At 45.7% G+C, this 13649-nt stretch overlaps 1 protein-coding gene across 5 annotated transcripts in view; it reads left to right on the plus strand.

The window, feature by feature from the left end:
- ZNF454 (zinc finger protein 454) overlaps positions 1 to 13649 on the plus strand; it is a 48831-nt gene that overhangs the window by 20849 nt on the left and 14333 nt on the right. For 4 of the 5 annotated variants that reach the window (NM_001178089.3, NM_001323306.2, NM_182594.4 and 1 more), the window contains exon 5: positions 2609 to 4387. In NM_001178089.3, the coding sequence (NP_001171560.1) occupies positions 2609 to 3927 (1319 nt within the window). In that variant the 3' untranslated portion in view covers positions 3928 to 4387. Of the gene's footprint in view, positions 1 to 2608; positions 7648 to 13649 lie in introns of those variants that run through there. The other variant, XR_007058600.1, reaches the window with a different exon arrangement.

Below are 13649 nucleotides of genomic sequence, written 5' to 3' on the forward strand. Positions count from 1 at the left end.
GTTTCTTTTAATGTAGATCTGCTGGTGACACCATCTCTGTTTTTATTTGTATGGAAATATCTACTTCAAGTTTAATTTTTAGAGATATTTTCTCTGTGTGTTGAATTCTAGCTTGACAGTTCGGTTCTTTCACCGCTTCAGATGTTACTTCATTGTCTTCTGGGTTCCATTGTTTTCATTAAGACACTGCCAGTCTTAGTTTTGCTTTTTCAAAGGTAGTGTATCATTTGTTTTTTTCAAGCAACTTTCAAGGTAATCTTCAGTTTTCAGTAGTGCCTAGCTGAGGTGCCTAGGTGAATTTTCTTTGTAGTTATCCTTGGAGTTTATAGCCCTTCTCAGAGTTCATTTTTCAACCTTTTTGTTTTTAAATAATGTTTAGTTTTTTAGCCATGTTTTACTATGGATATTTTCTGCTTATGTATTTTTGTAGCTCACTATTCCTCTTTTCTGCTATATTTGATATCTTGTTAAAGACTATTGAATTCATAATTTTGGTTATTGTATTTCTCAGTTCTAGAATTTCCATTTGATTATTTGGTTCCAATTCTTTGTTGTAATTCTCATTCCTGTTTCCTTGAACATATTAATCACAGTTATTTTAAGGTTCACGTCTGATAACTCTGGTATCTGTGTTCTACGGTTCTTTTTCTATTGTCTGTTTTTCCCTCTTCATTGAATTTCTTAGCACAGCTGGCCTTTTTTATTGTATCCCTGACACTATATGTGAAGGAGAGCAGAGGCTCTAGATGTTGTTCTTCCAGAGAAGATTTAACTTCCCTGGTAGCAGCTAGAGTGCAAGCAAACCATCTTAGTCCAGCCAAGGCCTGTAATAGCTGGAGGTTGGTCACAATATTTGTAAAGCTATGTCAACTGCTCATTTGCCCGTACTACTAGTTTTGTAGCCCTGCAGGAGTCCCGGCTGAGAGCTTCACATGTTATTATGACCTCTCCTTGGAAGGTCCTGGTTCTGTTGTACTAAAAGACTAGAAAATTCTGGATTTCTGCTTAACTTTAATCTTTTGCCCTGTAAAGCTTAAGAATTCAATAAAATGTTTGAGTAACAAGCCACTGAGTATTGGGATCACCTCTCTATATTTTCATTCTCTCCCAAATATTAGACTATAAAGTCTGCCTGGGTGACATCTGATGCCTTCAGACAGATAACTTTTTCCAATTCAGATTTTCTAGTTGTTTTCTGCAGAAATGTTAGTCTGCCACAGTCTACTCTATTTGGGCCAGAAGTGGAAGTCAGTCCTTAACATTTTGACATTTGGCAATACCGATGTTTAACTTTGACCATTCTTTGTTTTGAACAAGGATATATTATTCTGAGCTCAACAGGATTTTAGTCTTGAAATGCGCCTGTTTACCTTTCTTTTCCTAGTAAGTAAAGAGGTTTGTTTCTTTGATTCTAAAATGATACCAGGAGTGCCTTTTTGTAGAAGATTTTCTGCAGCGAGTGGGAAAAGGAGGTAATAAGGATGGCTTGTTCTTGATGGGATTTCTCGTGAATTCTGCATCGTCTGTGTTTGGAATCTAGCCCTTAGTTTTACATTTTAGGCCCTCTCCTGTTTGCCCTGAGAATACTTGCCGGCAGTGCTTGCAGCTGCAGCGTTTATCCTGAGATAACTTTGCCACAAAATATCTCATGGCACATTTCCCTCCCATGGGTGTCACATTATTCATATGGGTTTGGAGACATTGCTTCCTCACAAGCAATAGGAGGTCCTTATTTTTTTAGTAGATATGAGCATTTCACACAGCCTGTACAGCGGCCTAGCTTTTTATTATTCATCTGAATGCTCAAATGAGCCTATATCTTGATTTTAGTATTCACTCTAGAGTCAAGGTTTTTCCTACCAAGTGTCGACTACTATTTTCAGCAGTTTCTTTAGGCCACATCTGGCTGGCTTTAAAAATCATCTCATTTGAATCGACAGGGTACTTTTCTTCTTGTCTGTTAGCATCATGTGGTCTTTATCAGGTTTTTCTTTTTTTTGAGGCTTAGAAAATCAGATAACTTCTCTATTATCACAAAGAAAATATGTGTTGTACTCAATTCTAACCCAGGCCTGTGACTTTTTTTTTTTTTGAGACGGAGTCTCACTCTGTCACCCAGGCTGGAATGCAGTGGCGCGATCTCGGCTCACTGCAAGCTCCGCCTCCCGGGTTCACACCATTCTCCTGCCTCAGCCTCCTGAGTAGCTGGGACTACAGGCTCCCACCACCACGCCCGGCTAATTTTTTGCATTTTTAGTAGAGACGGGGTTTCACCGTGTTAGCCAGGATGGTCTCGATCTCCTGACCTCGTGATCCACCCGCCTTGGCCTCCCAAAGTGCTGGGATTACAGGTGTGAGCCACAACGCCCAGCCACCTGTGACTTCTAAGATCATGCTTCCAAGCTCTCCTGCCTCATACATTATACATGAGATCAACCCCTGCTGTAGTCCTCTGTTCACCCCTCTTTTCTGTCCTTTCTTGTTGTTACTTCAGAAAATCTTCAAACTTGAAATCTTTCTGTTAGCATTATGAAGAGGCTCGTCATCTTGCCCCATCCAAATGTTTTGCTAGGGTAAAACAGACATTTTTATTTTTAATGTCTTTCAGACTGGATGACTATGCCTGCCAGTAAGAAATCTACTGTCAAGGCAGAGATTCCTGAAGAAGAATTGGATCAATGGACAATAAAGGAAAGATTCAGTAGCAGTAGTCACTGGAAGTGTGCTAGCCTGCTGGAGTGGCAATGTGGAGGCCAGGAGATCAGTTTGCAGCGAGTGGTACTCACTCACCCCAACACCCCATCACAGGAATGTGATGAATCCGGGAGCACTATGAGCTCATCTCTTCACAGTGATCAAAGTCAGGGATTTCAACCTAGCAAAAATGCCTTTGAGTGTAGTGAGTGTGGAAAAGTCTTCTCTAAGAGTTCAACTCTTAATAAACATCAGAAAATTCATAATGAAAAAAATGCAAATCAGAAAATTCATATTAAGGAGAAAAGATATGAATGTAGAGAATGTGGGAAAGCCTTTCACCAGAGTACGCACCTTATCCATCACCAAAGAATTCACACTGGCGAGAAACCCTATGAATGTAAGGAATGTGGCAAGGCCTTCTCAGTGAGCTCCTCACTTACGTACCATCAGAAAATTCATACTGGAGAGAAGCCTTTTGAATGCAACTTATGTGGAAAAGCTTTTATCCGAAATATACACCTTGCCCATCATCATAGAATACATACTGGAGAGAAACCTTTTAAATGTAACATTTGTGAAAAAGCCTTTGTGTGCAGGGCACACCTTACCAAACACCAGAATATCCACAGTGGAGAGAAACCCTATAAATGCAATGAATGTGGAAAAGCCTTTAATCAGAGTACAAGTTTCCTTCAGCATCAGAGAATTCACACTGGAGAGAAACCCTTTGAATGTAATGAATGTGGGAAGGCCTTCAGGGTGAACTCTTCCCTTACTGAACATCAGAGAATTCATACTGGAGAGAAACCTTATAAATGTAATGAATGTGGGAAAGCTTTCAGGGATAATTCATCCTTTGCACGACATCGGAAAATTCACACTGGAGAGAAACCTTACAGATGTGGCTTGTGTGAGAAAGCCTTTCGGGACCAATCAGCACTAGCCCAACATCAGAGAATTCATACTGGGGAAAAACCTTATACATGTAACATATGTGAAAAAGCCTTCAGTGACCATTCAGCCCTTACCCAACATAAGAGAATTCATACTAGGGAAAAACCTTACAAATGTAAAATCTGTGAGAAAGCCTTTATCCGAAGCACTCACCTGACTCAACATCAGAGGATTCACACAGGAGAGAAACCCTATAAATGTAATAAATGTGGGAAAGCTTTTAACCAGACTGCAAACCTCATTCAGCATCAGAGACATCATATTGGAGAGAAGTGATATGAATGCAGTTTGTATGGAAGACCTTTGAGACTGAGTAGATGAATTATTGAATGTGAGATAATCCGTTCTAGAGAATAACTATGAAAGCTTGCATCAAGATAGTCACTTTATTTACTGAGGGTCAGGTTTCACAGTGTCATGGGGTTTGGGCATTTAAGAATGGCAAACACTCGGCTGGGCACAGTGGCTCACGTCTGTAATCTTTGGGAGCACTTTGGGAGGCCGAGGTGGGCGGATCACGAGGTCAGGAGATCGAGACCATCCTGGCTAACAGGGTGAAACCCCATCGCTACTAAAAATATAAAAAATTACCCGGGCATGGTGGTGGGCGCCTGTAGTCCCAGCTACTCGGGAGGCTGAGGCAGGAGAATGGCATGAACCCGGGAGGCAGAGGTTGCAGTGAGCCGAGATCGTGCCACTGCACTCCAGCCTGGGCGACAGAGCAAGACTCAGTCTCAAAAAAAAAAAAAAAAAAAAGAATGGCAAACACTCCTCATTCTTTAATACTGCCTCAAATAGCAGTACTGTTTGATTTGTCTGAATTACCAAGCATCAGAACCAAAATGGAGCTTCATTAACAGCATTAAAAAATTGGTTTATCAAATTACATTTTGACTATTAGAGAAACTGAAATTGTAAAAATTAAAGCTGAAAAGCAAAGGAACAAAAAGGTAAAATGGCCTACGAGCGTTGCACTCTACTAGATTCTCTTACATAAGAGAGTTGCCAGCTTTAATGGAAGCCTTAGTCCTCTCCTCACCCACACCACCGACACCCAGTGTAGAGAAAGTACGTCACCCACACTTATTTAAACCATGCTTCCTGCCTTTTGCTTCAAACCATCCATTGTCAGATCTCTCTGGTCTGTCTGCTGGCTTCATCCCTGTAGAATCCCTGTGAGACGATTCATTTGCCCCAAATGACCCTCTTCTGACTTAGCAACGCCTAACTGTCTGCATGGTGCCACCTATCACTGCCCCTATGGGGAGTGTGGTGGTCTGGTCTCAGACACAGTCCATGATGTTGAATATCACACCCAAATCCAGCCTTCAGAACTTGGTATCTCTGTCCAGAAGGCACAACTTGATCAAAATTCTTGAGTTATGCATTTCCTCTGGGCTTCAGCTTGACTGATCCTGGGATGGCACCTGAAGGAGGGGCTTTGCCTGTGCCGCCTTTACCCTCCAATTGTTCTGTACTTAGTGACTCTACACATCAGTCAGGGACTTGCTCAGCTTCAGGTGCAATGATCCCACCCACTTACGTTGTACTATTCCCAGTCACCTCCATCTGTCGCTGCCCATTTCTCTATGTGCAATTGATATAAGAGGTGAAAGCCCCAAGGCCAGTTCTCAGAATGCTCTGACCCACTCTCTTCCCCTGGCTGTACAGTCCACTGTGTCCACTGCATTAGAGTACATTTACTACTCCCAGGATAAACTGCTGCATCCTGGTCCTTCCCCTGCTTTTTCTAGGTTTCTGGAGGTAGTAATTCTATATTCATAGGAAAGCAGACAGCTTTGAATTTCTGCTTTTGCATTTGGAAGTGGTCATTTCCTCTCCTCCATCTGGGCCTTCCACTATTTAAAGACTCATGCTGACAGTGGTGAGAAAAATGTTGAGTAATTCCATGAGTCAAGAAGTGGTCACTAGCACCATTGATATTCTCTGGCAAGGGCCATGTCCGTGTTCAAAAGTTTGAGTGGTACAGTCGTCCTGCAAGTATGGTTCCTTTACCCTGTTTTTTTTTTTTCTTTTTCTTTTTCTTTTTTTTTTTTTTTGAGACAGAGTCTTGCACTGTCGCCCAGGCTGGAGTGCAGTGGTGTGATCTCGGCTCACTGTAACTTCCACCTCCTGGGTTCAAGTGATTCTCCTGCCTCAGCCTCCCGAGTAGCTAGGTCTACAGGCACCCACTACCATGCCCAGCTAATTTTTTGTATTTTTAGTAGAGTTGGGGTTTCACTATGTTGGCCAGGCTGGTCTCAAACTCCTGACCTTGTGATCCGCCCACCTCGGCCTCCCCAGGTGCTGGGATTACAGGCATGAGCCACCGCACCCGGCCACCTTCCCCGTCTTTAATCCTTCAGTGCTTTCAGTAGAAATCACACAGATAAGTAACATCTGTGCATCACACACACACACACACACACACACACACACACACAGCCTCTGAGGGCCCTCTCCCTTTTCCTACCACAAGGAATGGAGGAGCCTTCACTACTGCAAGCTGGAATATATCATGCAGTGAAGATGGGAGGCCAAGCAAATTTTTCTGGAAAGTGAAGTGGCAAGTTCCTGGTATGTGGAAGTGCTGTCCGTCAAGTTGAGCAACCCCCTGACCCCTCAGAATGGAGCACCTCACCCCCATGTTACAGAAGAGGATATTCTATATCATGGTAGAACTCAGTGGGCTCTGGGTTGCAACATAGACTTGGAAGCTTCCAGCAGCTTCAAAGTCCAAGTAATCTAAATTCAGCCTTCATCTAATAAAGGCCACCTTTGTGGGCCAGCATCTCCTGTTAGCTGATCAGCAACTCAGACTTTCTTCCCTATTAAGCTGCATGTGAAGCAGTATTTCAAGAGGTTTCTTGGGATTGCTTGTGTCCCATGTCCTCAGAAGTTCATCTGCAGCTTCACGCAGCTGACACCCTCAGATTCCAGAGTAAACCTGAAAAAACCACGTTCACTGCTACAGATGTCTGTCTTCACCCCATCCATGTAATGTGCCAGGTCTTAACTACCACCCCCTTACCTTGAATCCCTGAGAAGCACGTTTCTAAGCTGAGTTGGTTGGTGGTTTTGTCTATCTGTAATGAACGCATGAGAACTACCACTACTTGGTATGTGCCTACCGTTGAGCCAGGACCAAGGCGTGCAGCCACTTGAGTCTCATTCACCTCAGCCGCGGCTCCAGGAACTAGCGTCAGCGGCATTAAGTGCAGGCTGAAGGCCCCCATCTGAGAAGACAGTGCACTCTCCCTGAGTTCGCCTCTCATCAGGCTTGGGTTTTCATGAAATCAGTCCTCCGAGATGCCTGTTCACTCATCCCTGTCTGGAAAGGCAAAAAGTACGTCACTGGCCTATTAGATACGCCCAGGCTGACTTGAATATATTGATGGTACTAGTACTTGGCCAGGCAGTGGCTTTACTGTATTACACTGTAGGATGACGAGCTCACTGCACGGCCTTCTCGACTAGGGGAGGGGACACTGCCTGAGTCCCAGGCATACTTTTCTCACGTGGATGATACTGCTCTCTACCTGGGCATTCTCACCTGCCCCAGCTCAACCCCTAAAAGTACATTTCTGAGGACCCTGCAGTAAGACTTTTTCAGCCACAGTCTTCTCTACCAGCTGATCTGTGTGGTGTTAGACATTTCAGTACTTACTGAGAGGGAGTTTTCTGTGCCCCACCTTCAGCTGGGTTAATCCCCAAAGAACCAGTGTTTCCTAGAAAGAGCAGTTCATTCCATACCTTGCTCTTGTAGTCCTAATGGCCATGTCGACATACCCAGCTGTGACAAGATGAAGGACCACGATTTGGGACTCTTCAGGGACAGACTTGGCCACCTGGTGATGTGCCACCTTCAGCAGCTCTGTCTTCACACGTCCAGCCTGCGCCTGCTTCATGTAGTACACAAGACTGCTCTGGTACACCACGACCATGACCTTCACATGAGGCCAGTCTCCCCGCCCCTCACCTGGGCCATAGAAAAAGGTAAGAGCCTGAGAAGCAGCTCCTGGCCTCTCCTCCCACCTCGGAGCGTTCCGAGACCCATCACAGTGCCAGCTCCACTCTGCCCAGTTTGAGAAGGGAATTGGCATCTAGACTGATAGGTTCTTCATTTCTATGGGCTTCTGGGAACAGCCACTGAAACTGCCTCCTTGTTACCGAAAAAAAACAGTTGCTTTGGATTTCCCCTTTCAGATTCCTCTGCCCGTCTCCTGCCGGGTGCCCCTCATCTCCAGCTGACTGATTTGTCATCTGGGTTCTTTCTCCCTGCCTGCCTGTTTGCCTGGCTTTGACAGCGCCCTCTCTAAGACGTTACCTTCCTCCATATTCACTAACTGCTTCTAGAACAGCATTTGTCCCTGCAGCAGACTCAGGCTTCCAGGTTACTGTGGCCGAGCCTCAGAGTCTTGGAACAAAATTGCTTTAAACTGAGTGCTTTTGATGGAGAAAACAATTTAATTCAAAATTAATCCAAGAACGCCATAGCCTCCCCTTATCTGATTCCTCTCCTTTCCTTCGCTCTTTGCCCCACCCTCCCCTGTAGCACTGGCTTAGTCGGCAGTACAACATGGAGACGTCAATCTCTCACCCCCATCTGTGTCGCAGTGGGAGGGCTCCCTGCTTCTTGGCCCACCTCAACTCTTGCTAAATATATCTTTGGCAATTTAAATATTTTTGTAACAGTTTGTGAAGGGAAAAGAACGCAAGGCTTGGTTGTTTCTGATCACTCAAGGACCTCTCGGCGGTGCTGATGGTCCTTTGCAGGTGCCAGCACTGGGTGGTACTCACACTCCCTGTGTTCCGTCTGCCACCCTGTGTACCACATGTCACTGTCTTTTTTTTCTTTCTTTCAAGCGATTCTCCTGCCTCAGCCTCCCAAGTAGCTGGGATTACAGGTTCCCACCACCACGCCCGGCTAATTTTTGTATTTTTAGTAGAGACGGGGTTTCACCATGTTGGTCAGGCTGGTCTTGAACTCCTGACCTCGTGATCCACTTGCCTCAGCCGCGTCACTATCCTTAAAAAATTGTTAACAATAATTATTCATCAGTGTGTCTTTCTGAAAATAAAATGAGAAAAGTGCCCAGTTTCTAAGATGTACAAGTTGCATTTTTGTCACCTGGTTATCTAGATGACACTAATGCATGGCCAAAAGCATTCCAAGTGTTTCTCTCTGTAGCCAGCCTGGCCCGAGCCCCCCACAATGACCATCGAAGCCCCACGTGGTCCTGGAAAGCAGCGTGTTCATGCTGTGGAATGTAAAGAGCTGTTTCCCATCACCGGGGCCAGCAGTTCACATGTGAGGCCACGCCTGGCACCAGATGCTGTTGTAAGAACTTTGCGTATATTCATTCATTTAATCCTCACAATTGCATGAAACCGTTACGTCCATCCTGTTTTGTATTGTTATGAGGTAGTCAGTGAGATTGAGCCAAAAGAGGCAGAGGAGAGGCTCGGGATAACAAATGTACTCAATATTCCTAGAGACAGGAGGCAGGGCAGGCCACACAGGGCCATGTGGGCGAGGCACCTGAGTGTTCAGGAGGCAGAAGACAGGAGTCGGCGGGGAGTAGGGGGAAGCATGAAGCCAGGGCCTTCTTTGGGTGTCTGAGGGAAAGGCAAGGCAGGGTGGGTGAATTGTTTAGACTGGCTAGTTTGTGTCATTTCAGTAAGCTCTAAGCTATAAGGATGGGGGTGTCCCTAGGTGCCTGGTGCTCGGCCCTGGGGTGATGAAGGCAGAGGAATGTTGCTTCTGGGGTGTGTGGGCCTGAGAGAGGAGGCCTGGCTCTGGCTGGTTACTACATATCGAAGACGTGCCCAGCTCAGTGTTTGCTGTCTCTTAAGAACTGGCCAGCCCCGGCTGGGCGCGGTGGCCATGCCTGTAATCCCAGCACTTTGGGAGGCAGAGACGGGCAGATCACGAGGTCAGGAGATTGAGACCATCCTGACTAACACAGTGAAACCCCATCTCTACTAAAAAAAAAAAAATACAAAAAATTAGCCGGGTGTGGTGGCGGGCGCATGTAGTCCCAGCTACTTGGGAGGCTGAGGCAGGAGAATGGTGTGAACCCGGGAGGTGGAGCTTGCAGTGAGCTGAGGTGGCGCCACTGCACTCCAGGCTGGGCAGCGAGACTCCATCTGAAAAAAAAAAAAGAAGAAGAACTGGCCAGCCCCAGGAAGGGCGGCTCTGTCTGTCCCCAGCCAAAAGGTTTGTTTTTTGTTTGTTTGTTTGTTTGTTTTTTGAGATGGAGTCTCACTCTGTCACCCAGTCTGGAGCACAATGGTGCAATCTCGGCTCCCTGTAAACTCAGCCTCCTGGGTTCAAGTGATTCTCCTGCTTCAGCCTCCCTAGTAGTTGGGATTACAGGCATGCACCACCACACCTGGCTAATTTTTTGTATTTTTGTAGAGATGGGGTTTCACCATATTGTCCAGGCTGGTCTCGAACTCCTGATGTTGAGTGATCTGCCCACCTTGGCCTCCCAAAGTGCTGGGATTACAGGTGTGAGCCACCGCACCTGGCTAAAATATAATATACAGAAAAATTTTAAATATATACACAATATATTTCACAACTATTTTATGACTATACAACATTTTACAATCTATTTTACAACTGTGTTGGTATAAAGACAAAATCTTTGACCCTAAAAGGTCATTTTTCTTTCCAATTTGGGGAGAACTTAAAACATTTCCATGAGCCCCTAGAAGCATTCTGGGCCCCAGGCACTGTCCCTACTGCACCTAATGGACAAGTCGGTGCTGCCTGGCATTGGTGGGTGGGGAGGGCTGGGGCCACGTGCTCACCTGGAGCCTAAGGAGGTGAGGTTCACCCATACCACATGATCCAAGAGTAGAAGTGAGGGGTCCACAAGAAAAACCCAGGGTCTTTCTCCAAAGAAGAGAGGGTGTGGTAAGGTCCCACGCAGGCAAACCACAGATGACCCCAGGCCCGACGCAGCTGAGGCTGAGGCTGCGGCCTTTGGTGGCTCACCCCCTTCTCAGATCCACACTTTCTGGGCCAGGCCTGAGGCTGAGCCACGTGGGGGTGAGAGAACCAGGAGCAGGGGGAAGATGTGGGGGAAGGGCAGGCGGAGTGCTGACCCCGAGGACCTGTTTCACTGGAAAGGCAGCAGTTTTTACCTATCTTATCGCCAACTCGGATGAATTCTTGTACCAGCTGCATAACTATACTCCCAAGATCCAGTTTCTCTCTAACTTCAGGCATCCACGTTTTCCTGCCATAGACTCTTGTAACAAACCTCTTTCCTAATAGTAAATAGGTAAAAAAAAAAAAAAACCCAGAGGCCTTTCTGATCGTGGTGGCTGACAGCAGATCCGGCTGCAGTTCCTCTCCTTTCCCTCCCTACCTCCCTCCCTCCTTCCTTCCTTCCTTCCTTTTGCTGTCTCTCTCTGTCTCTGTCCCTCTCTCTCTCTCTCCCCCACACCTCCCCTTCCCTCCTCTCCCCTCCCATTCCTTTCCTTTCTTCTGTCAGCTGAAGCAGCAAGACCACACAGGCCCATTAGTTCATGCAGGGGACCTTGGCAGGACTTGAAATGGAAGAAGCTATTGTCTGGTTTTGGGCTTTGTATTTCAAATTTCCAAGCTGCAGATAATTGCTATAATAATGTACATTTTACCAGAGCATTAAAAAATGGAAAAGTTTCCAATTATTTTTCTTTCTTTCTCAATTAATTTTCCTTGCAGTGAAGAAGAAATTCCAAAGTTGGAAAAAGTATTTAACCACCTGAAGTTCAATTGCTAATTCACCTCAGTAATACACCTAGTGGCAAATCTTTTATCCTCCAGTTTTTAGTGTCTTTACTGATTAAAAAAAATAGAGGTTGACTGGGCCGGGCGCAGTGGCTCACGCCTGTAATCCCAGCACTTTGGGAGGCCGAAGCGGGCGGATCACAAGGTCAGGAGATTGAGACCATCCTGGCTAACACGGTGAAACCCCGTCTCTACTAAAAAATACAAAAAATTAGCCGGTGTGGTGGCGGGCGCCTGTAGTCCCAGCTACTCGGGAGGCTGAGGCAGGAGAATGGCCTGAACCCAGGAGGCGGAGCTTGCAGTGAGCCGAGATCGCGCCACTGCACTCCAGCCTGGGCGACAGAGCAAGACTTCATCTCAAAAAAAAAAAAAAAAAAGGTCGACTGAAGAATTTAAAAAATTCTATCCATTTATATTACTTCTGCCATTCTTTATATATCAGTGTGTACATAGGCAGAGAATGAAACCTGGAGGCTTTTGTCACCAGGGTCATAGTTTAAACTTATGAAGTAGACAGTGGGGTTGGGCTGGGATGGTGCGGTGAAGATGATGTCATGACTAAACAGATTTATTAGGAAAGAGGTTTGTTACAAGAGTCTATGGCAGGAAAACGTGGATGCCTGAAGTTAGAGAGAAACTGGATCTTGGGAGTATAGTTATGCAGCTGGTACAAGAATTCATCCGAGTTGGCGATAAGATAGGTAAAGGATGCATCAATGGTTATTCCTTGAGAAGCAGGTCATGGTTGGTCCTTCTTGTCTTTTAGGTTTTCTTTAGTCATGAACTTGTGTTAGCCTTTCTAGTGGTTGTTGTGGTTGTTGTGGTTGTGGTTGTTGTTGTTGTTGTTGTTGTTGGAGATGGAGTCTCGCTGTGTCGCCAGGCTGGAGTGCACTGGCGCGATCTTGGCTCACTGCAGTCTCCGCCTCTGGGGTTCAAGCGATTCTCCTGCCTCAGCCTGCTGAGTAGCTGAGACTACAGGCGCCCGCCACCATGCCCGGCTAATTTTTTGTATATTTAGTAGAGACGGGGTTTCACCGTGTTAGCCAGGATGGTCTCGATCTCCTGACCTCGTGATCCACCTAGCTTGGCCTCTGAAAGTACCGGGATTAGAGGCGTGAGCCACCGCGCCCGGCCTCTAATGGTTTCTGTACTTACCATTACTGCATGAGAGAGAGGTTCATTGAGCACTCGTTATGAGCCAGGCACTGTGCATTGTTCCTACATTATGCCATGAAATTTCTATAAAAACCTTCAGGTTTGTAGGGATGGATGATTACCTATCAGCTAGATATGAGTATCATACTTACTTGACAGACAAGGAGTCTTTGACTTAAGTAGCTTGTCCAAGATCACAACATGAGAGTTAAGAGAAGGGTTTTAAATGTGAAGCTTTGTGATAGAACCCAAACCCTTACCCAATAAGCTGGACCACCACGGATCTCAGGAATTGGTCACTCTGGCTGCCAAATTTCTGCTCACCTCTTCTCTCTCTTCCTTTTTATTCTTTTCCCAAAATATAACGACACATCAAAAGATGTTTCTGGCCGGGGGCAGTGCGTCATACCTGTAATCCCAGCACTTTGGGAGGCCATGGCAGGCCGATCACCTGAAGTCAGGAGTTCAAGACCAGCCTGGCCAACATGGCAAAACTCCGTCTCTACTAAAAATACAAAAATTAGCCGGGCTACTCAGGAGACTGAGGCAGGAGAATCACTTGAACCCGGGAGGTGGAGGCTGCAGTGAGCTCAGATCACGCCACTGCACTCCAGCCTGGGGTATAGAGTGAGACTCTGTCTCAAAAACAAAAAAAAGATGTTTCTAAGTATGCCAGTGGTGCACGTTTGAGAGCAGTATTACTCCAGTGAATGAATGTGACCACTACAACTGCTCTGCATGTGAAACACTTTTTGAAAACACGTGCACAGAAGATGTTTCAAGAGTGCAGCTTGGTGCATGATTAAGATGTGTTGTTTCAATGAATAAAGGTGTCCACTACACTATTCTGCATGTAATATACTCTGAAAAGACATGTGTACAAAAGATGTTGCTAAAACATTCTCAACACAGTAGCCAGAGTGGTCCTTTTGTTCATCAGACCATCTAACTGTTATTAAAACCCTCCAGTGTCTCCTCTTCTCACCCCGAGTAAATTAAAGTCCTTGATTTTAGTGGCCTTGGCCTACAGGGCCACACATGGTATACATACCCCAGT

Source organism: Homo sapiens, chromosome 5, assembly GCF_000001405.40.
Source record: "Homo sapiens chromosome 5, GRCh38.p14 Primary Assembly".
Classification (NCBI taxonomy): domain Eukaryota; kingdom Metazoa; phylum Chordata; class Mammalia; order Primates; family Hominidae; genus Homo; species Homo sapiens.